Genomic DNA, 23,550 nt, shown 5'->3' with positions numbered 1-23,550 from the left:
ACCTGTGAGGTGTCCCTTCCTTTTTCAGAGAAGGTTTCTTTATCTGGCTGGGCCCTATGGGGCAGCCCAAGGCTCTGAGTGACAATGGAGTAAGGGCTTTGGAGCCAGAAGTAGTTCTGGTTCTTCCACCCAGAACCCTGTGACCTTAGATGAAGGACAATGCCACCTGCTTCTCTGGGTTATTGGGAAGGCTCAGTGAGTCCCCTGGGGAAAGTGTTCATGCAGTGCTGAGCACACCATGGGGCTGAAGGGGCTCCCTACTCTGTTGCCAGCACCAGCGGCTCCCCAGGACACTGGGCTTCTTGACACTTGGTCTTTGTAGTCTTTGAATGAAGAGGGCTGCCCTGCCACCTCCAGGCTGGCTCTGAGGTGTGGGTGAGGGTGCTTGGAAGGGAGGGAGGATGCAGGGCATTAATTGGGCTGGGAGAGGCGGGGAAGGGGAGGCGTGGGTTTTGAGCAGTGAGGTTAATGGCCCTCGCACCAAAGAGACAGCTTTAATGAGCTTCAGCTGGCGATGCCCCGAGTTACTGTGCGTGCTAAAAGGGTCGCGCTGTAAGAGTTTGACGTGGACTGCTTCCCAGCCCTGGGGGTCAGAGGTCAGCTCCTGTCACTGGCCACTCAGGCTGGTCCTTAGTGACATGGTGCTAATTAACTGTGTGAGGAGCTGCCAGCCTGGAGTGGGGAGTGGTATGTGTATTGGCTGGGGGGGTAAGGCAGCATTGGGTGGCTTCCAGGCAAGGGTGCTGCAGATCCCACAGCTGAGCCATGTCCAGGGTCTGCTCAGTCCTCCTGCAGTGCCACAGGGGTGTGGCATGGGTGGTGTGGAGGTGCTGAGAGAACACGGAGGCAGACTTGGGGTGACGGGTGTGGGGAAGGGGCTCAGGCTGTAGGGGAGGGGGCTACTAGGATGGTTGTGCGTGGGAAAGCTGTAGGAGTGTTTTGGGCAGGGGAGTTACATGGTCAGTGTTGGCTTCAGTCAGAGGATGCTCATAGTTTGTAGGGGAAGGACTAGTGAGGAGAGACTGCAGACAAGGAGGCTGAAGGGGAGGGGCAGCAAGGTAAGCAAGAGTGCATCGGCCCTGGAAATAGAGGTAGGACACCAGGTAAAACTTTCTTTCATTCAGTACACACTACCTTGGACCTACCATATATCAGGAACCATGGTAGGTGCTAGAAATGTATTGGTAACAATGGCAGACACAGTGCTCTGTCACCACAGAGCTCACAAATGGAGTTGTGGGCTTGGCCCTGGGGACTGAGGGTGAAGTCAGGTTTAGGGATGGCCAAGGAGGGTCTGGAGGTGATGCAGCACTGGACAGAAAGGCTGCTGGAGGCTTGTCAGCGTGACATCATAGTCAGGGGAGGGCACTTCCTCCTGGGGTAGCGGATTTGGCCTTGGGAGACTGGTGAACAGCATGGTGCCAGAGCAGGTTGTGGTGAGTAGGGCCTGCATGCATCTAGAACTGCTGACTCCAGGGCTGCCGATGGTCTCTGTCAGCATCCTTAGTTTGGACCACAGGCTCTGAGGGAGGGCAGCCTCCACAGGGGACTGCTGAGTGGTCCTTCATTCATTTCAGCAAAGGGGCAGTAAGCACTCATATTATTTGGAAGCACTTTATGTTAACTAATTTAGTTTTCACAACAGTCTTAATGAAGGCAGGCATCATCATTCCCATTTTATAGATGAAGAAACTGAGTCTCAGTGAAGTGAACTGCCTAAGGTCACATAGCCAGTTGGTTGAGGAGCCAGGATTCAAACCCAAGCCCATCTGAGTGCAGAGCCTGTGTTGTTATCACTGTGGAACTATGAAGCACCCTTTTGGTGTTGGGCTTTGCGCTACCAATAGAGACGATGTGGAAGAAAACAAGCTCGCTTCCCTCATTTCCCTCAGCGTCAAGTGAAACACGCAGGCCTGAACAGACCTTCGGTAGCAGCAGCTGAGGAAGAAAGCAAAGGCAGCATCACCACTCCCTCTCTGCTGCTACAGTCACCCTGAGCCAGGGACCTGCAATTGTTGGCATCTGACCTCCTTCTGGCCCTGACGGTTCTTTGTGATTTCAGTTCTCTACCTCATGGCCCAGGAAAGTTCTGCTAATCTTCCAGGGGCCACCTCCTCTGGGAGTCTCGCCTGGCCCTCCCAGTATGAGTGTTCAAAACACACACTTGGGCCCTATTATAATTTGTCAGAGGTAATGATCTGGCCCTACGCACTTGGGTTCTCTAAGGGCAGGGCCTGGACCTCCTTCCCTTCTTTTTTGGAAATCTGCACAGGAAATGTCAGTAAAATCTCACCTGCTATTGTAACTTGGAGGCCTCACAGACTACTGCTGGTTTCAGCTGGCTAGGAGAGTAACTGGAACCTTCCCTGATGCCCGGCTGGGTGGTCCTGCCTAGGAGCTTGTCCCCTCTGCTCTGGGATGGAGAAGGATCCCACTGAGGCTTGTGGTACAGGTGGCATGGCCAGAAACCAAGTGGACTCTCAAGAGCTTGCTACCCAGAACTGTTTGGCAAGAGAGCTGGGCTGGCAGGTGGCAGGGTGGGGGCCTGGGCCCCAGGGGGGCAGTGGGCTGGCCTGTGGTCTCCCCTGAAGGAGTGGGGTGTCTATCAAGAGTCCAGTCAGAACGCATTAGCTCTGTGACACAGATCTCATTAGTGCCCATGAGAGGTGTCACTGCGGGAGAATCGTCGGCTCAGGGAGACGCTTGTACCAAAAGGAAGAAAGGACAGTGACAGCCTTTTCTCTGCCGCCTCTGCCGCCACGCTCACTGGGCTGCCCGCCCTCCTCCTCGTTGAGGGGGGTGCGGGGGGTGCTGGCTAATGAGCTCGTCTGCAGTACAGCTTTGCCTTCCCTCCTTGAAGTTTCCCGGGTCCCTCTGAAGACCTCGGGCCCAGGATTAGCACACACCAAACGCCAGCCCCCGTCTTGCCCAGCAGGGAGTTCCTTCTGATCACCCTATTCCTGCTACCATAGGCAAGGAAAGGGGGTGGTACCAAGATAGAGCCACTGTGGCCTGGGGGAGGGGGCCTTGCACCTCTGGGAAGCCTCAAGCCCCTCTGCATCCCTTGACAGAGTGACCGTGTCCACCTCTCTGCAGAGGGTTCTTGCTTCCCAGAGCTGCAGTCTTCTCCTCCCATCCCCTTTCTCCATGACATCTAGCCTGGCAGTGTCCCCATTCCTGTGGGGGACCCCCACTCAAGGCAAGGAAGAATGTGAGGACCTTGGCTGAGGGTTTAGGAGGTAGCATTTAGATCTGATAGGATGTGGGACTTTCTGGCTCAACTAGAGAGCCTCAGAATCAGTGAGATTCATGAAGTCTTCTGGGCTTCAGATGACCTGAGTGGTGATGCATTGATGTGAGGCCTCTACAGACCTTGATGTCCTTCCAGAGAGGTACCTTGCCTGCTTCCCCCAGCTTTGGCCACCTTCAGGGCTGGGAGGGGAGGAGTCAGCCCAGCTGCCTTGTGGGGAAGGGCAGAGCACAGTACTACTGTACACTACTGCCCCCTCCCATCCAGTTCTTTCTGGTGTGGCCCTAAGAAAGTGAGAAGCTAGGGAGATGGATGGTCATGAGAAGGGTTAACTCTCCCATCATTGACAGGGTCTGCACTGGCCTGCCTGGATAGTGCCTGGGGAGAGGGTGCTGGCTCCTTCCTTCCTGAGCTGACCCCCTTGGAGCCCCAGAGACATCTGAGGAATTGGTTCTTGCCAGACACCAGACTGTTCTTCAGTAGCAACCATAGATGGAAGAATGGCTAGATGGATGGGTGAGTTGATGGACTAGATGGGTGGGTGAGTTGATGGACAGATGGATGGAAGAAGGTTCTCCTGTATGTATGTATGTATGTATGTATGTATGTATGTATGTATGTATGTGTTATGTGTGTTTGATTCTTTAGGAAGTACAATCTTTGTTTCCCCACCTTCCTAGCCCCAGGCCCCGGCCTCGCCTCCCCTTGTCTCTCTCTGTATCTCCTGTCAAACCATCGCAGACTTAAATGACAAAGAAATCAGAAAGACAGATCAATGCCGGCCAAATTAGCACTTGCAGATAGACTCTGCGGGGATGTCAGCGCCCTGACCCCTGGTGATCTTGCAGCCTCCACTGCTGATATTATGCAAATTGCATCCATCTGGCAGGACCCGCGTGCTGGCTGCTCCTACTCAGAGGAGTAATGGGCTGGGGGTGGGTGGGAGTGTTAGAGCAAGAGTCAGTGAAGTGTGTGCATGTGTGTGCATGTGTGAGCATGTGTTTGAGTGTGTGTGAGGGCGTGCGGTGCCCACCAAGCACTGGGCGGTGATTGAGTGATTGACAGGGCAGATAAGGGACTGCATTGGATTCCTGTGGGCTGGGGGATTAGGAGCAGCCACAGATGGGAGATAACCGGACTTCATTTCAGTTTATTTTCCTCCTTATCCCCTCTCCCCACCTTCACTCCCTGAAAACACAATATCTGTAGTTTGTGTTTTCATCAATATTTGCAAGTCATTACCACTGGTTTAAGGTGAGAGACAATGTCAGGGCCCAGACCAGGCCAGCCCCTCCCCCAGTTCCTGGTACCCTGAGAATCAATCCCTAGAGTGGCACAGACAGCCTTCACTCCAGTGGCATTCACAGCAGCCCCTCCTTTCAGGCCCACAGTACTCATGGGACAATCCACACTTCATGGGCCAGCCCTGCTGACCTACCCCATCTGACCTAATGCCAACTGACATTCCTTAAGCTGGGCCCTGCCCTTCCACCTGCAGCTACTGTGGGACATCCCTCCCTATGCTTTGGCTCCAGCATAGGTGCTCTGTCCTCAGTATTAGCTGTGCCCCCTGGGGCTGCCCCTACCCTTCTGCAGGGTTCTGGACCCTTCCTCTTAGCTCCTCCCATCCTGGACACTACTGACCAGGCCTAGGCCCCACTGGGCAAAGTGGGGCCTGTGGCCTGCAGAGAGGGGAATTTGTTTGGTCTGGTCTGAATCACACCAGTGTCATTCTACATTTGCTGAGGGCCAGGTATTAGTACAGAGGGCTTTATATCTGTTCTCTCATTGAATTCTCAAACCCCGTGATAAGGGCTGTCATCTCTACTGGATGTGAGGAAACTGAGGGTCCAGAAGGTTGTCATGACCGATTGCTGCTCAGCAAGGAAGTGAGAGAGCAGGAATTTGAACATATCTCTCCTAGTCTAGGGTTGGAGTTCTTCACCACCACGAGTACTGCTTTCCTTCCATTCCACCAGCTGCAGACACGCGACATGTCACCACGCCTGGATCCATTTAAGAGAGCCATCCTTGTACCGTAGGCAGAGAAGTTCATTCAGCTACTAGCCTGTGAACACAGACCCTGACTCAAACCTCCTACTAGGCTAAACCAGCCCAAGCCAGGCTGAACCAGGCCAAAGGGGACTGGAATCAAATAGGCCCTGCTCTCAGGAGCTGTGTGTCTGAGACAGTTGGGCTGTAGCAAGAAGGACACACAGAGGACAGAATGTACCCAGCAGCTGAGCCAGCGCAGAAGTGTGTCCCAGCACACGGCCTCTAGGCCCATGTAGCTCAAGGAGGGGCTGGTGTAGCCCAAGCCAGCCTGCTGTGGTGGCTGAGGGTATAGCTGTCCCAGAGGCCCCTCCAAAACTGGGTCCCTGCTGTACCCTCCCACCAGGCAGGGCTGGGAGCTGGGAGTGCTGGAGACATGTCCAGGGACACGTGTGCAAGGGGAGCTTGTCCTAATGAGGAGAACATGGCTGCTAGTTAGGCAAGGGGCGGGCGGGGAGCCGCAGAGCTGATTGAAGGCAGGGGCAGGGGTCAGACAATTAGGCCCAGATCCTGCCGTTTGATGTGAGTTCTGAGGCCTCAAAGCCTCCCTTCAGCCGGCTCCCTCCACTCCCTCCTCTCCCTCCTCTCCCTCCTCTTTCCTTTCTTCTGCCCAAAGACAGGAAGGATGGAAACGCTTACACTCACTGTTACTATTATTAAACGCTGTGGCAGGCCAGCCAGACCCCAGGATTCCTGCCCACAGGGGGCACCCCAGGCCCCCAGGAGGTTCCTTGGGCCCCAGAGGGAACATCTGGCAAGAGGCCAAGGCCAGGCCAGCTGAGCCCCAGGGCAGGGTAACCCTGCCCCTCTTGCTTCTGAGGCAGGAGAGTGAATGGGGCCTCCCAGCAGGAATTTGGGCTCTGGACTCTGGGCTCTAGGGGCCATATCCCAGGCCTGCATTAACCATCACCTCCTGCAGCCGCTTAGTTCTTTTCTATCCTGGCCTGGGGCTGAGGGTTGAGGGTGTGATTCATTCACACTCATATCCCATCACACAGTGATCTGCAGCAGTCACATCAAGACCTTTTGCCACAAGATGGAGATAATGCAGAGTCTTGCAGCCCCACAGCAGTGTCACACACCCCAAAGCAGACCCCCACACCAGATATCATAGCCACACATACCATCACAGGCCATACCCACAGGGTCTTGCACATAAGCACCTACTGTCCCCTGCCACAGGGCCCTGAGTTCTTAAGCCCCTCTCCCAGAATAGCTAAGAATAGCAGTTAGATCTTATGTCCAGGGCTGGGGGTTACCAGGCCCCTTCCAGTCTCCCACCCTAGGAAATAAGCCTAGAGAGTTGGTAGTGACCAGGGAGTGGGAGGAAGCTGGATTGGGGGGGGGAGGGGGCAGCAGTGGGGAGAGGGAGGGTGGGAGCAGAGATAAATGTTAGCTCATTTCTTCCGTAATTAGTTACTCCCTCATCCCCGCGTTGTAATTGTGAACAAGCTGTAATGTTTAATTAGTCTGTAAATGAAACCCCAATTTCATAATGGCCTGGCTGACAGGGCTAAGTGAGCAGGGGAGGAGGAGGAGGGGACTCTTCCTCCCCTCCTCCTGCAGGGTAGATGCAGGCTGTGGGATCACTTCCTTTTCCTTTCAGCCCCAGTCTGGCCTCTGTGGGGGGAGGCTATGTGATGGGGTTCAGTCCTATACTCTCGCTGTGAATATCCCTTCCATGGGCCCATCTTACCAGAGGAAGGGGAGAGGAGGCTCTCAGGCATCCTTCCTGCCTCCCCGTCACTCTTGGGTTGGGATAGGACAGTCAGCCCAACCCAGATGCTTCTGGTGGGAGAAGCTGACTCCGGTGGCCAGGCCTTGTGATCTCCGCAACGATGATGCTTCTTCCCTAAAGGCCTTTGCTTGGAACCTGGCACCTCAAGATCTGGCCCTATACACCGAAAGGAGCCGGTGATTGGTTTAGGCCCCTCCCCGACCTGTCCCGTCCCACTGCTAGGCGGGATCTAGCCCTGCGCTGACACCCAGGCCGGCCCTTACTCTCCGCAGGGATTATCACTGCAGCCTGCGATAAACCGGAGCTGCCGCAGGGGGGAGCCCCTGGCCCCGCGGCTGCCTCATTGGTCTCTCCCTGTCTCCCCCACAACATCCTCATTGCCTGCACACGCCCCCGCCCCGCCTGCCGCAGCCATAAATCTCAATTTACGAGGGTGGCTCTGGTGGGGGAGGGAGGCAGCACCGCTAATGATGGCTCCTCAGCTGGATTTTTCATGGTGCACAGTCATAAATTTTTAAGAACAGCATGGGCAGCACGTTAGCGAGTTATCGAGGCTGCCTCCGTGCTGGCTGCCTGGCTCCAAGAGAGAAGAGCAGAGGCCGCGTAGGGCCGAGGAGGTATTCTGGGGCAGGGGTGAGGCAGGGCACCCAGAGGAGTCTAAGGCCAGGGTAAGAGGGCCAAGCAGACGGGCTAGGGCTACAGTGAGCCTGTGCACAGGACAAGGTAGTGCTGCCGGCCGCCGGGAGCCAAGGCCAGGCACGTGGGTGGGATCAGGCACGTGGGCATGCAGACCGTGGCCTTCGGGAGCCCCTGATGGATGCCTCTGCTCCAAGACTTGACACCATGATGTACAGGGAGCCTGGAGACGTATGGATTTTCAAAGTGGCCACTTTGAATAGAAATACAAACCCTGAGCATGTGCACAGTGAGGCCTCTGCCCTGGCAGAGCTGCACCTAGTTCATAAACCAGGTGCCTTTTAGGATTGTTCTAGAGAGCTAGGGTGCCTGGGGAAATGCCCACAGAGGGAGCATATCTTGATATGCTGGAGCCTGGAGCTGGGCTGACCTCATTCAGTTTAAGGCTCATGCCTTCAAGGTTGAGTGGTACTAGGTAAGTCATTCACTATGGGATGTTTCTTCCTCTTGAAAATGGGGTTGATGCTGGCCTCTAACTGTCAGGCTCACTGGAAGCAAGAACTGTAAAATCTTTGGCCCATATTTGCTCCTTCATCTATTTAAATTTCTAGAAAAGTTTCTGAGTGAAGTGTCTGGGAAAGAGATCATTGTGGGAGATGATGGAGCCTTCCCTGTGTTTAGTCATTCATTCAGAAAATGTTTGCTGAGGTCTTCTGGGTGCCCAGGCCAATACCAGGGCTTCAGAGGTGAGAGATGCTCCTTTGTGGGAGGTGAAGTGAGCACTTTTGGCTGAGGCACGTCAATGTTGCCAGCCGTGTTCCTGGTTCTACCATAGGGTTGAGGTGCCAGATCCAGCCCTGTTCTTCCATGGAAGCACCTAAGCCTTCAGGATGCTGAGAAGCTCACGCAGGTCTTCTCACAAGTCCCCGGGCCAGGCGCTCCCCTGAGTCCCCTGACCAGCCCATTTGAGGGTTAATGCCCTTGACTACCTCAAGGGTGGGCAAGAAGAGCAAGTAGGACTCCTGGAGTCCCTGGAGGAGGTGGGCCTAGCACGAGGGACAGCCTTAGAAGGCCACAAGCACAAGATCAAGAAATCACCAGTTGCTCAAGTTGGCAGAGGTAGTGGGAGTGCATGTTTTGGAGGTGGTGAGTGAAAATCCTGTGTTCAGGAGGGCTCCATGGTGACCCATCAGGACAGCTTGATCATTTTGGCGGAAGAGTGTCCCCACTCTGAGCCTTGTCAGCTTAGGGGGAGTCCCTGTCTACTTGGGCACAGACTCACAGCCTCTGTCCTCTGCTGCCCTCTCCTGCCCCCCTTAAGCCACTCTCCTCCTGCTCCCCACACTCCACGCCCTTCCCTCATCTCTTGGAACCTGCCACACCTTCTTTTACCTTATTGCCTTCCCATGTGGCTTTATTTTCCCCCAGAGCCCCATATTTCCACCCCACAACCTAATTAACTCTTCCTCATCCCTCAGAGCTCAGCTTAAAGTTTGCTTCCTCAGGAATGCTTTCCCTGACTCCTAGACTTGATCAAGTCCCCCTTTCCCCGTGTACTTTTTCTCAGCACCCTGCTCTCCCCATTTGTAGCATTTAATCACAGTTGTAATTAAGAAATTATTTGTTTGAAAGTTGTTTAATGCCTGTCTCCCTCACTAGATTGTAAGTTCCCTGAAGGCAAGAAATGTCTGTTTCATTTGGCTTATATCCCCAAAGCATAGCACAGTGTCTGACACGTATAGGCAGATAGTAAATAAAATGTGCTGTTTGAATTGAGTTAAATTGAGTTGAGATGGCCCTGGCCCACCCCTGGGTGCCAGGGCAGGGGGAGGCAGCTAGGGAAGTGCCTGGAGCTGAGGTGGTTCCCATTAGTCCTCATGATTAATTCACAGCCACACTGTGATAGAGTGGGCTTGTCCCCAGTCAGTGCCTCCACTGGGGCCCACCTGTTAGCGACAAACAAACAAAGGGGATAAATAATGCATTGGGAGCTGAGCCAGGCAAGGCGGCGGTATTGAAATTAATAGGGATTAGCTGAGCAGCTTGAGGATGAAATATTTACCAGGTGGGACACGGCTTAGGGAGGGCATCCCCCCTTCCCAGAGTCCCTAGGCATAGCTAGGCCTTTCTCCAGGGCATCACTGGCTAGGACTGGGGCGCCCCAGCACCACCACTGCCACCCTTGACTGCCTGGGTTTGCAGGACAGGCTGGCCAGACAGATGAGAGCTCAGGTCCTAGCCAGTCTCCTGGCACAGTGAAGTCCTGGGGAAACCAAGATGCTAGAAGGGAACGGAGGTGGGGAAGGGCCTGAAACCTTCAGGGCTTTGGAAGCTGGAGACAAAGACCATGACAGGGTTTCAGGGCCTGGGCATGTCAAGGCTTTGGGTGGCAAATGTCAGGGCTGGAGTAGGTTTGCGTGTGATCTTGCCCCTCTTTCTTTTCCTCTAGTCCTTCCTTCCTTCTTTTCAGTATGTATTTCTTGAGTGTCTCTGTGGATAACACCTGTGCCCTCAAAGAGTTCATGGTCTAGCAGGAGGTGAAGGAGAGGCAGTTACGATAGGCGGAGAATTGGCTGCTGTGGGAGCACACAGAAGAGGTTCCTAACACAAAGGCGGGATGGGGGGAAGGCACCTAGAGGAAGCACTAGCAAGCCTGGGTCCTGAGAGGTGAAGGCAATGAGCCAGGTGAGAAGTGAGGACTTGAAAACTCAAGGTGCAAATGAGCCTGAATTTGGCTGTACAACAGGGGAGTGGGACTGATGAGACCAGAGATGTAAACAGGTCCAGAACTCAGACTTTTATAAAGGGGTTTGGATGCATTGGGAGCTGAGTCAGGCAAGGTGGCAATATTGAACTTAATGGGGATTAGCTGAGCAGTCCTGAGAGCAGTGAGGAGCCACTGGAAGTGGTGCTGGTGGTGGTGGTTTTAATTTTTGACTCTTAAACTTTTTACTTTGAATTAATTTTACATTTGTAGGAAAGTTTCTATGTATCCCTTACCCAGCTTTCCCTCATGTTAACATCTTACATAATCACAATACAGTTATCAGTACCAGAAAATTAACATTGGTACTGTGCTACATTAAAGGGCCTCTTAGGCCGGGTATGGTGGCACACGCGTGTAATCCCAGCTACTTGGGAGGCTGAGGCACGGGAATCGGCTGAACCTGGGAGGCGGAGATGCAGTGAGCTGAGATCACGCCACTGCACTCCAGCCTGGGCAACAGAAAGAAACCCTGTCTCAAAAGCCTTATTTTAATTTCACCAGTGTTTCCATTAATGTTCTTTTTCTGCTCCAGGTTCATTGAAGGGTTTGTTGTTGTTATTGTTGCTGTTGCTGTTTTTTGAGACAGAGTCTCATTCTGTTGCCCCGGCTAGAGTGCAGTGATGTGATCTCGGCTCACTGCAACCTCCGCCTCCTGTTTTCAAGTGATTGTTCTGCCTCAGCCTCCCGAGTAGCTGGGATTACAGGTGCCACCACGCCCAGCTAATTTTTTGTATTTTTAGTAGAGATGGGGTTTCGCCATGTTGGCCAGGCTGGTCTCGAAATCCTGACCTCGTGATTTGCCCACCTCAGCCTCCCAAAGTGCTGGGATTATAGCGTGAGCCACCACGCCCAGCCCGGGTTTTAAGACAGGGAGTGAAATGACCAGATTGGTGGTTTAAAAGGACACCATGGAAGAAAGATTGGCAGGGGCACTGCCGTTACCTAGATGGGAGATGATGGTGGCCTGGACCAGGATGTTGGTAATGGGAACATGGGCTTAGAAATTATTGAAAAATATATGGTAATTAAAGCTCCTAGAAATTATTGGAAAATATATGGTAATTAAAGCTCCAGGAGGGGATAAGTTTGCCCACGGAGAGAGAGTGAGAAGGGAAGAGACCAATGACAGTTCTGAGCAACATCCATATCTAAGAGGTGATCAAAAGAAAGGGAGTGTTCAAAGGAACCAAGGAGAATTGCATGAAAAGTGAGAGTGGGTCACTGAAGCCTAGGGAAGAGAGCTTCAAGGAGTGGATTGTTCACCAATTGTCTATCAATCAAAACCTGAAAAGCTTCATCCTCATGAGTCATAGGGATCATTAGAGAAAGCAGTGTTGGTAGAGCAGTGATCAGATCGCAAGGTGGGAGATGAGGAAATAAGATCTTGAGTGTAAACAACTCTGAAGTTTGCCTCTAAAAGGGAGGAGAGATTGGGTACTAGCCAATGGAAAAGGGAGTTAAAGGGAGACTTGTTTACTCCCAAGATGGGAGAGAATTAATATATTTACATGCTTATGTGAAGGAACCAATGCAGAAGAAAAAAGTGAAGCTGTATCAGTGGAAATAGGAGTACTCAATAATGTGTGGACCCTGAAAAGGCCTGGATTCTGGGTTGGACCCTACCCAGCTGGAGTGGAGGGATGGGCTTAGAAAGTGACATCAGGCAATTAGCTGGGCGTGGTGGCAAGAGCCTGTAGTCCCAGCTACTCTGGAGGCTAAGGCAGGAGAATCGCTTGAACCCGGGAGGCAGAGGTTGCAGTGAGCCGAGACCGTACCATTGCACTCCAGCCTGGACGACAGAGTGAGACTCCATCTCAAAAAAAAAAAAAAAAGAACGTGACATCAGGCTTGGCCCTCTCTTGTGACAGGAGGAGAGGACTGGGGCAAACTCAGGAGAGTGGCTTCTGTGTGGCTCCTGTGGAGTAGGAGATAAGATTGTTTGCATGGGTGAGGGGTTTGGGGTGATGTTGAGGGCAGGGGATTTGAGATTTGTGGAAAGTAGAGAAACTTGAAATTGTCACTATGGGTGAAGGGAGAGAGAGTGCACACTGATCAGGAACACTGGAGATTGGCTGGGCAGTTTTATATACCCAGCTGAGGCTGATGACTCTGATTTTGTAAGTGGCACTAGTCTATATGGTTGTGATTTTCTCTAGTCATACGCTCCAGGTGGCAGGCACAGAGAAGGCAGAGTCTGGGTTTTTCCAGGCAAGGGTGACAAGGAAAAGGGAATAAGAGAGTTGAGGATTGGCAAGAAAAAGACTGAAATGATGGACCATGCAATCCAGGCTCCAAAGGCAGACATGTCAGTTACGTTGCTAGGACAGAAACTATGACTTTTCCCTTCTTTTTCACTAAATAGAACCCCTGTATAATTATAGAACCGCTGTATAATAATCAGTGTGTACCTAGTTAAAAGACTACGTTTTTAGTTTTCCAGACAGCTAGGTACAGCCATGTCTCTGAGCTCTGGCCGGTGAAACAAAAGGAAATGTGTTGTCTGGGACTTGCAGGAATGATACCTAAAGGGAAACAGCTCATCTGGGAAATACGCTATTCTTGCCTTTTCCCGTCTTCCCCCTTTCTTTTTCCTGGAATGTGGATTTGATGGTTGGAGCTCCAGCAGCTATTTTGGACTATGAAATAGTCTGAGGATTGGAAACCACATGCCGAGAATGGCAGGGCAGAAAGAAAGAAGAAGTCTGAATAGTCTGATGATTTTGTGGAACTGAGGGGTGTTTAGTCAACTTATATTGCAAGCCATACTCATAGAATGCCTTTCTTAGTAAAGCTATATTTCTTCCCTCTCTGTTTTCACTGGGGTTTTAGTCTAAACTTGATTCTTTTAGCCTTTTTCCTAACATAGCCTGTGTCCTGAGATACAGCAAGAAACAATTTGATCAAATGTTTCAAGAGAGCAAAAGAAAAAAACGGTTACCAACTTCCCAGCCTGAAATAGCAGCGTCCTCTTTGTCCTTCGGCCTGCCTCCTTTATTCAGTGAGTTCTATGTTGTAAGGTCCATTCCTTATGTCATTCTCCTTCCTGCCTTTACATTCTGTATCAGTTAGTATACTTTCAGCTGCAAGAAAAATAAACCCCAATTTTAAATATCTTAAATAAGGGGATTTATTATCTCACAAAAGAAATTTGGCGGTAAGGCGATCCTAAGGTCGGTTAATTCAGCATATCAGCAGTGTTATCAGGGACCCAGATATGTTTCCATTTTTCTTTCATCTTCAGCATGGTCTTCATAGGCTAACTCCCCTCAAGGTTGGAAGATGGCTTCTGCAGTCCCAGACATTATGTGCAGTTACGAAAACATCCAGCAGAATATAAAGGACTATTTTTCCCTCATGCTTGTCTTCATAAGAGATAAGAAATTTTCCTTGAAGGCCTTTCAGCAAACTTACCCTCATGTCTCAGTAGCCAGAACACATGCCCATCCCTGTGCCAATGACTGGCAAGGGAGAAAGGATCACCAAAAATGACTCAGACCACAGAGGATTAATTCTGATTACTTGAAGGGGTAGTGGGCTCTGCCAGCAGAGCAGAAGCAGGTGGCTGTTGGGTACATCATCAGAAGTGAACAAGGGCCGGGACCAATGGCTCATGTCTATAATCCCAGCACTTTGGGAGGCTGGGGTAGGAGGAACCAGCCTTGGTAACATAGCAAGACCCCATATGTACACACACAAAAAAAAGCCAGGCATGGTGGCATACCTGTAGTCCCAGCTGCTCGGGAGGCTGATGCAGGAGGATTGCTTGACCCCAAGAGGTCGAGACTGTGGTGAGCTATGAGCAAACCACTGCACTCCTGCCTGGGTGACAGAGTAGGGCTCTAACTCAAAGAAAAAGAAGTGGGCAAGGAAAAATGTGAATACAGGAGAGACAATATATATGGAGAGAGTAAGGGTATAAATTTTAAGGTTTCAGTGAGTGAAAAAAAAAGTATACAGACAGGTTAGGCATCCATAATCTGAAAATCCCAATGCAGAATGCTCCAAAATTCGAAACTTTTTGACTGCCAGCATGATACCACAAGTGGAAAATTCCACACCTGACCTCATGTGATGGGTCGCCGTCAAAACTTTGTTTTATGCACAAAATTATATAAACGATTATATAAAATTACCTTCAGGGTATGTGCATAAAGTGTATAAGAAACATAAATAAATGAATTCTGTGTTTAGACTTGGGACCCCATCCCCAAGATATCTCATGTATATGCAAATATTGCACAATCTGAAAAAAATTCAAAATTCAAAACACTCCTGGTCTCCAAGCACTTTGGATAATAACCTTGTTATTGTTATTGTCAGAAACAAGGGATATTTGGATTTAATATTTCAAAGGAAGAGTAGTAGGATATTTAAAAGGTTGACTGTGTTACTGTGAAAATGGGTGGAAATTAGATACAATGGAGAAGGCCATTAGTACTAAAGTCAAAGAAGGAAGAGGCTGGCAACAAGATTTCTCAAAAGGTCAGGATATAGAGGTTGTGGCAGGCAGGTCTCTCGGGAGGGAGGTGGCCATGGTCTGGATTGATAGCATGTGCTCACAAGAAAGTCTCCAGATAGTCTGCTGGCACGTGGGTCTGGGGCCGGGTCACAGGTCCTGGAACTTTGCGGCTGCCCGGGGCAGCACAGGCAAGTGGCATAACCTCTCTGTATCTCAGTGTCCTCATTTTGCAAAGAATCTGTCCTGGTAGTTCAGGCCATTCTGGAAGAGGGTAAGGCCCTGACACCTTCCTATTGAATCCACTACAGGACCCAGAAGACTGATGAGGCTGCCAGGTATGGCAGATCTGCTCAGCTGTTCTCAGTAGCCAACCCCTCCCTGGCTGGGTTCCCTTCACTTGGCTGTAGGTGATCTGGCTATAACCTGGCACTTCTAGTTGTGGCATCCCAGACCAGGAGAAAGGTGAGGCTTCCTGGCTCCTCTACCTGGATGGGGCCTTGGCTGGGATTGATCTGGGGGAGGCGGGCATCCTCTGTAATGGCCAGAGCAGCCGCCCTGTTACTACGGCGTATTTCACTTTTAATTCTGACATATAATGTAATGATCTTTTTTAAGGCCCGATGATATTATCTGCCTGACTAGATTATTGAGTCTTCATCATCTCCAGATAAATTTATGGCCAGGACGAGGCTCAGGATTTATCATCAGTCAATAGAGCTCGATACTCTAACAAGGCGTGTAATAAGATATACATATTTAATGATTCAAGGGGAGGAGTGCTAATGGGAGTCGCGTGAGTGGTCCATGGGGCTGGGGCTCTGCCCTAGGGTTGCCATGGCTGTGGGGACATGGATGTGGTCTTTGTCCTGTGGTCCCCAACTCTGGTCTTTCTCAGGACTGCCTCAGTCTCCTCCTTCCCAAGAGCCTGAGGAAGGGAGAGGTAGGAAAAGGAAGAGGCAGCATTAGGGCCAGGCCAGAGCTAGGGCCCAAGCATCTTCAGCCCAAAGGTGTATGCACCCCCTGAGAACTCCGCTCCCGCTTCCAGGCCTTGGAAGGGTTTGGGGTGTCCTCAGACCTGTACGCCCAGGCCCCTGAGCATTAGGGCGGGCCCACAAGGGAGGGAGTGCCGGGGCTGCATGCCCAGGCCGCACTGATGGTGACGGATGGTTTTTCATTATAGCCTCTCAGGTCCTGCCCGCACCCTGTGTGGAAATTCTATTTATTCCCTAATTTGTAAAAATTCCCTCTTTATCTGATCCCAATCAGGGCGGGGTAATTGGCTCTCTGGGGCAGCGGCTGGGGTCCTTGATGAAGAGCTATGTGGATGTACCCAGCCTGGCCCCCACCCAGCCTGCCACCAGGGCCCACAATTAATAATGATTTGCAAATGGCAGACAAGCAATAACACAGAAAGATGTGGTGTCCGTGCTGCCTCTTCATTTCCTTCCCTTGCAGATAAAAATGGCCACAGAACAAAAACCCAGCACTATAAATTCTAGAATTAGTTATTCACTGGGATAAATGGGGCCTGGAGCCACCAGCCACTCTCCCTGCCACCGTTCTTGCCTGCTTTCCCTGATCCAGGTTCTGGCCCCATGTCTGTTCTTGAGCCTGGCCCCTGACTCTTCTGCCTCTTTGGCTCGCAGCACAATTCCTCAGCTTCTCCCACCACTCCAGCTACCTTCTCCTGTGTGGCCAAGACTTGGGAGTGGTCACCTGGTCTAGGCCTGTAGCTTCCTCTGCAGTGGCTGGAGCCAGCAGGTGGGATTCACCCTCCACCTCCTCTTGTGGACCTCCCTGGCTGCCCAACGTGGTTTCTGTCCTCATTCTGTATTGGGGTTTGAATGACGTTGACATGTCCTGCCAGGCCTGGGAGTCTGGATAAGGGTTTGTCTTGGGTATCATCTTTGGCATTTGGGACCAATCATGTCCTTTGCCTCGCCAAATCTGAGTTGAGTTCCTGGTGGCCAAATGCACTGCAAGCGACATAAGGGGTTTGATGCTATGCTTACTGGTCAGGCAGTTCTGGGATGCTGGCAAAGGGGTTTCCAGGCACTGTGCCCTCCCGGCCAGGCACATCCCCCCCTCCACCCCACTGCCCCCAAGTGGCTGTGAGCTGGCGGGTAATGGGTGTGTAATGGCCTCATTTCCATGCCTGGCCTCCAGGAGCGGCGGTAAGTGTTTGATTGCCTTAATTTCCAAACACATCATTATCCCAGCTTTACCAGCGCTTAATAAACACTTTATGAGGATTTTTTTAAAAACATCTTCGGTCCGCATACTTCTCTGAAGTGATAAACTCTAATTAAGTCTAATATTTAAAAATATGGTAATGGTGAGTTGTTTGAATAAGTGGACTGCATTTCTGTAATTTCATTATTACGTAAAACACGCTAATTATTTGGAGCGCGCTTATTACGGTGAGAGAAATCGCCTGCTAATCAAGATGAAATTGCCTTTTCCCCTTATTGTGGAACCATCGTCATCCTTCACCATCAGCCTGTGGCACCTCCAGGCACCTCGGTGGGGTGGAGGGGGCTGAGGGGAGGGGCTGAAAGAAGGGGTCACTTTGGAGTGGAGGCTGTAAGGATCCTGTCTGGGGGAGGGGTAGGAAGCTATGGGAGCCATGGCTGTGGGGAGAAGGGAGTGTGTGTCTAGGAAGTGGGTCGGGTGGGCCAAGGTGGCCGTGAATGGGGGCGCAGGGGACTGTGTAGGCCATGTCTGAGACAAGGAACTGGGGGGTGGGGATATCAGGAATTTATTGTTGGAATAACATTATTTTTAGATGTTATTGGAATAACAAAAATAATAACTAACCGAGCTACTGTTTTAAGCACTTCACAAATAACTCATCTTTTTAACAACACTTTGAGGGAAGTTATTGCTATAATTATTATTATTCCCATTTTAGAGAAGAAGAAACCAAAACAAAGATAAGTTAAATAAAATTCAGGAACTTGCTCAAGTTCACATGGTTATTAAGTGGTGGAGTTTGGATTCAAACCCAGAAGCAGGATATACTGGGGCCATCTGCTGTGTCAGTCCTAAACTCACTGCCTTGGCCCTCATCTTCCTTCTAAGCTAACATTTGATGCTAAACCTTAAACTGCACCCAGCTGTTGGGTCCCCATCACAGAGTTGCCAGATAATACAGGGTTACAAATAATACAGGACACTAGTTAAATCTGAATTTCAGATAAATAATTTTTAGTATAAAAAATATAGTATAAGTATGTCCTGTATGGAGCTGGTGGGGCTGCATTTAATCTGGCAGTCCTGTGTCAAGCAGGCCTAGGCACTGGCACTTTGCTCTCAGGGCATTACTGCTGCCAGGATGTCTGGACAGACAGATGTGGCAACAGTTGAGGTTCTAGAACGTGGACACACCCAAGGATCCTGCTGTGTCACCCTTACCATGCATGGTTCCTTCTCCTTGCACTGTTCTCCACACCTACCTCCCAACTACCCTACCCTACCTCTTCTGGTCCCTGTTCCATGGACTCTTGCCCCATTCCTCACCATGTCCTGAAGATCAGTAATAAAGTGTGTTACCAAGCTAAGCATTCTGCAGGCAGGAGGCCTGTGGAGACTCCAGCAGACCTCAGGATGTGTCTGCATGTTCCTTTAGGCCACACTCCCTCTTAGTCCCATAAGATCAGCAGCTTGCCACCCTACTGTCCCTCCTGTTCCCCCAGTTTGATTGGCTTCTTTGATCATTTCACATACATTCACTCCTGCCTCCAACAGACACATGTATGGGAATTGTATATGTGATAGAGCTGTCGTTTCAAAAGGGTGGGGAAAGTGTTGACAGTTCAATCAATGGTGGTAGGACAATTGGCTATTAGGGGGAAAAAAGTTAGAGTTTTTATTTCTTACCACACACAAAAATAAATTCCAGACAGATTAAAAAGTTAATATATTAAAAAAACTGAAAGTATTAGAAGAAAACATAGGATAGTTTGTGTGTGTGTGTGTGTGTGTGTGTGTGTGTGTGTGTTTAATAATGCTGAGATAGAGAAGCAAGACATTAGCCTAGAAACCATAAAGAAATGCCTGACAAATTTAGATGTCCCATAGGAATATGACTTAACTCATCCAAATTTGCACCTTCCCTGGTATGCCTTATCTCAGTGAGTGGCACTGAGATCCTAGATGCTCCCCCTGTGCTGTCCTAATCCCCCCATTAAGGACTGCTCGTTCTATTTCCTAAAAATTCTCTTACCTCCATCCACTTCCCCCACATCATCAATAGATCTTCTCCTCCATTTCCACTGCCACTGGCCTGTTCTGGGCCATTATTTCTGGTCTGGACCATAGTACAATCTGCTAATTGATCTGTCTGCCTTCAGGGTTAATCCTTCCAATCCTGTCCTCACATCTAGGATCATAATTCTGAAACAAGATCTGGTACTGTCATTCCCCTCCTTAAACATGTCAATGTCCATCATTCTCAGAATATTAACATCTTAAGCTCCTTAGTTTAGCATTTAGGTTCTTCAGGATTCCCTTTAGTCAGTCACTGACCACCAGCTTCATCTCGTTGCCACTCCCTTCTGATTCTTCATCCCCCCACCCATCTGATAAACTTATTTGGACACTCCACATTTCACCTCCATAAATGTGCCTGTACTATTTATTGAACACCTTCCTCACCCCAGCCCTAACAAGGTGGGCTAGCTCCCTCCCCCATCCCCTAAGACCTCTGCTTAACTTTGGAATATTTAATCCTCAAACAGAACTAGATAACTTTTCCATGCGTCCTTTTCTCATAGCACTGCACACCTGACAGGGCTGTCTTTGAGTTCCTTGAAGGCAGGGAGCTACAGAGTCTTGCACATCCCTCAGAAGCCATATGGTACAAGATCACTGAGCATACAGAAGGTGTCAGCGCATGTTTGCTGAATGAATGAGTATATGAATGAATGGACTTCTAACTTCTTGGGTCCCCTTCCTCCTGAGGGTCTCCCTAGCCCAGGCCCTGCTTCCTGTCCACTGCCACTCAGTTCCCAGGTAAGTACCGCTAATGGAGAATATCAGCCTTAGGTTGTTTGCCCTTTGTGAGCTCTTTCTGGGTGTCCTAAGTGATCTGAGCAACCCTTCTGTGTGGAGATTGTCAGGCAGACATTTGACTGTCCTTGGGCCCAGCCAACAAGCTTGTCTTTCCTTGTAAGGTGCTAGCCCCACTAATCTTCTCTCAGGGATTTATGCAGCTGCACTCCTCACATTATGGTCTTGGCAATATAAAAATATTTCCAACACTGAGAATATTAATGCCCCAAAAAAGAAGAGGAGAGGGTCATCTTGTCACAAATTGATGATCCTGCAGAAACATAAAAACAGGTTAGCCTGACCAGGTATGGTGGCTCATGCCTGTAATCCCAGCCCTTTGGGAGGCCGAGGTACAAGAATTGGAGGCAGAGGTTGCAGTGAGCTGAGGTCACGCCACTGCACTCCAGCCTGGGCAACAGAGCAAGACAAAATGAAACAAAACCAAAGGTTAGCCTTCTAGAATTTGAAGGTGAGGTAGAGGCCTCTTGGAGGCCTCTATTGTGGGTGCAAGGCTGTGCTCCCTGCCACCTCACTCCCACCCTACAGCAGCTTCATGCTGGCCTCCTTAGCTCAATGAGAGGTGCTGGAAGGCAAGCCTGCTAACCCAGGTGGCCCCCAGAGCTTCAAGCAGAAAACTTTCCAAGAGACTGTGTTGCCACCAGACACCCTGCTGCTCTCTCTCTCTGAATTTTTGGCCTATTAAAAGCCCCAGATCTGTCTCTAGTGCTTCTTCTGCCAAGCTTCCTCACTTTCTAGCAGGGCCATAGACTTTAAAAAACAAAATATATATATATTTGTCAAGGCTTCAAGGGCTGGAAAAAGAGCCTGGAGCTAGAAGCCCATGACTGCCATTCCACTGACTTGTTAGGTGAACTGGAGCAAATTTCTTCCTTTCCCTGGTCTCTCTTTATTGTAGTGGGCCAGTTGCAACAAGTTAGACCCCAGAAATACCCAGTAAACAGGATCTGAAGTCAGAATTTGGAGTGAATGCCAATTGGTTTCACTAAGTCTGCTGGCCCCTATCAGTCATCTGTGCTATCAATTGTATACACTTTCTCACCACTAGGTCCTCCAGAAAACTAGCTTCCTTGCCTTTTCTTCAGAAAGAGGAGGCATTCCAAGCATAAAGAACAGCATGTGCAAAGATGTGGGTGCAACACCTTGTTTGGTCCTCACAATAACAGCAAGGCCATTATCACCCTAGTGGAGGAACCTAAGTATTAGAGACGCTAAGCCCTTGCTGTGTGGTATGCAGCCAGTGGGTGAAATTAAGATTGGAAACATGTCTTTCTGGCTCCAAAACCCACTTTGTCATTTTCAGAAAACAGTGAGTGGGTCCTTGAGATTGGAGTCCAGGGATTGAGGGTTGAGCATGGCAGAGACCAGAAATAGCAGGGATCAATTTTTGCGGAGCCTTTAAGACATATTACTGGTGTAGACTTTAAACTGAGGGCAAGGAGAGCCACTGAAGGGCTTTAAGGAAGAAGAACATGATCAGATTTATGTAAGAAAGATCAGTTTGGCTGTAAGAGAATGAATTTGAGGGAGAAAGAGGACAGCTGTTGTAATCCAAGATGATTAGGCAGAGAAGAAGAGAAAATCTGCGTAAGTTCATACTTGATTAGATTTGGAGAGTGAGGGAGAGGGCAAAGTGGCAACATGACTCAGATTTCTTTGGGCATTTTGGGTGGATTATGGTGCCATTCACTGGGATGGAGAACATAGCAGGGTGAGGGGTAAGCAGCAGCTTGGAGAGAAAATTAGCTCGTGATTGGACGTTTAGGGTTTATCTAGAAAGAGATGTTCAGGAATATGTGGTGTAGAGCCTATGAGCTGTCCAGGCTGGAGAGGTGATCTTTAGCGGGTAGCTGAAACTCACGATTTAGATGAAGCCATCCAGTGTGTAGAGTGGGGAGAGGTCAAGGACAGAGACTGGGACGTGGGGACCCTCTCCCAGCACAGGGCCAGGCACAGGTGGGAGAACAGTGCTTGCCCACTGGATGGCTGGTGGCCTGGGGGTTGGGGCTGGGACATTCACTTGGGCCAGGGGAAGCAAATTGAACGATTTGTCCAGCAATGAGGGAGGAGCCAGATGAAGTCAATAGAAAACTAATTTTCTTTTCTGCTGGAAGAAATGAGGTGTGTGGCCGCTGGGTAATTGCAGATAACGAGGGGACTTATTCTTAATATGCACAGCGGCCACGGTCCCTAGGGTACCGGAGACAGGAAGGATTGGAGGTTCCCTGATAGGGCCAGACTTATTTGGGAAGAAAATCACCCTATCATAGTCTCTCTGTTGGCACTACCACAGCCCATGGACCCCATCCTAACCCTTCCCCCTCTTAGGCCCCTTCCGGTCCCATTCCCCTTCCTGTCAACTGCCTAGCACAGCCCCTCCCTCCTCCACCCACTACCCCCAAAGCATAGGCACACACACTAAGAGAGACAAATGATGGGGCCTCAGCTGAGCGGGGTGCGTGTCCGGCCCATAAACCATGGGGATGGGTCACGTCTGGAGTTGCCATGGTCGCCACTACCCACCCATCTGTCTTTCCACTGTTCTGCCTCAGACCAGCCCGTATGGCTTCCTGAGTCCCTGGGGGAAGGTGTCACCTCTCTGTGCCCACATCCACTGCAGGTGCGTCCATGCTGATCTCTGCGACACAGGACCCTGTCTGACTTGCCTGCCCAAAGCAGGCTCTGCAGAGCTAGGATCTGGCTAGTGATACAGGGCCTGGGCTGATCAGAGACTGTGCCCTCCTACTGCCCTTTTCTAGTGCTGGAGGGTCCCCCTTCCTAGACTAAGGTCCTGGCAAAAGTGGGCCTTGACATGCAGAGGCTTCCTGACCCCACCTTGACCTTAATACCCCCCCACACTTGATTATGACATTGATGTACAATATTTCTACAATCACAGCATCGATCCTATGAAGGTTGGTGGTGGCTGAGGCCCTGGTTATGGCCCAGGAGCATCTAAGGGAGGTGGGAGAAGAGGCAGGTGAGGGGATAATGAGTTTGGTGGCTGCTGTGGGCAGCTGAACAGAAAAACTCAGGCACTCAGGCTGTTTCTCTCCTAGGCTTCTGCTAGTGGAATAAGCTCTGGGCAGGTGCACCTCCTGCTGCTGGTGGTGGTGGTGGTGAAACAAATCCTGGCCCATGTCCATGACGCTGAGGCCCCAGAGGCCTGATCCTCCAGCCTCCAGGGTTCTAGGACAGTTGAAAGCATCCAATACTGGAGAAACTGTTTGTGATAGAGTCTGATACATGCAGACACATTCCACATGAGGTATGGGCAGAAACAGGGCCCAAAAAGGTGACTAGCACCCACTTTGAGCCTACTGGGACAGAAGCAGGGCTTCCGCCGATGTATACAGGAGGGTTTGGTAGACGGCTGATGGCCAAGGCTAAGAGGAGGACCACAAATCTGGACCCTCCCCATCCTGTCGGAGCTCCACAGGAACAGGTGCCCAGGCAAGCTGCTGTTTGAGCACACAAGCCCAGGACACAGGGCAGGTGTGTTTCCCAGGGCCCTGGCCCAGCAGTGCCAAGCCTTGTGCCTTGTCACTAGTGATTATGGCCTGGGTCACATCTCCCAC

The 23,550-nt window shown here is 50.5% G+C and overlaps 1 protein-coding gene and 1 long non-coding RNA gene across 18 annotated transcripts in view, besides 3 other annotated features; both read left to right on the top strand.

Annotated features, from left to right (window-relative positions):
- ERI3 (ERI1 exoribonuclease family member 3) overlaps positions 1–23,550 on the top strand; it is a 134,210-nt gene that overhangs the window by 109,599 nt on the left and 1,061 nt on the right. The window lies entirely within an intron of this gene.
- ERI3-IT1 (ERI3 intronic transcript 1) lies at positions 1,398–23,086 on the top strand. 2 transcript variants are annotated; one of them, NR_110056.1, is made up of 4 exons: positions 1,398–1,436; positions 3,601–3,766; positions 19,678–19,915; positions 23,032–23,086. It is a non-coding gene; the product is annotated as an ERI3 intronic transcript 1 (long non-coding RNA). The 2 variants fall into 2 exon arrangements; NR_046817.1 differs by lacking the exons at positions 3,601–3,766; positions 19,678–19,915; positions 23,032–23,086 and adding an exon at positions 1,684–2,305.
- Positions 4,337–4,965: an enhancer, noted in NCBI's record as "H3K4me1 hESC enhancer chr1:44706388-44707016 (GRCh37/hg19 assembly coordinates)". NCBI's record gives its function as "activates a minimal SCP1, AML or CMV promoter by ChIP-STARR-seq in naive H9 embryonic stem cells {active_cell/tissue: H9 hESC(naive)}" and the evidence as "EXISTENCE:reporter gene assay evidence [ECO:0000049][PMID:30033119]".
- Positions 4,966–5,594: an enhancer, noted in NCBI's record as "H3K27ac-H3K4me1 hESC enhancer chr1:44705759-44706387 (GRCh37/hg19 assembly coordinates)". NCBI's record gives its function as "activates a minimal SCP1, AML or CMV promoter by ChIP-STARR-seq in naive H9 embryonic stem cells {active_cell/tissue: H9 hESC(naive)}" and the evidence as "EXISTENCE:reporter gene assay evidence [ECO:0000049][PMID:30033119]".
- Positions 7,005–7,648: an enhancer, noted in NCBI's record as "H3K27ac-H3K4me1 hESC enhancer chr1:44703705-44704348 (GRCh37/hg19 assembly coordinates)". NCBI's record gives its function as "activates a minimal SCP1, AML or CMV promoter by ChIP-STARR-seq in naive H9 embryonic stem cells {active_cell/tissue: H9 hESC(naive)}" and the evidence as "EXISTENCE:reporter gene assay evidence [ECO:0000049][PMID:30033119]".

Source organism: Homo sapiens, chromosome 1 (genome assembly GCF_000001405.40).
Source record: "Homo sapiens chromosome 1, GRCh38.p14 Primary Assembly".
NCBI classification, from domain to species: Eukaryota; Metazoa; Chordata; class Mammalia; order Primates; family Hominidae; genus Homo; species Homo sapiens.
This window is presented reverse-complemented; position numbering and strand designations above follow the sequence as displayed.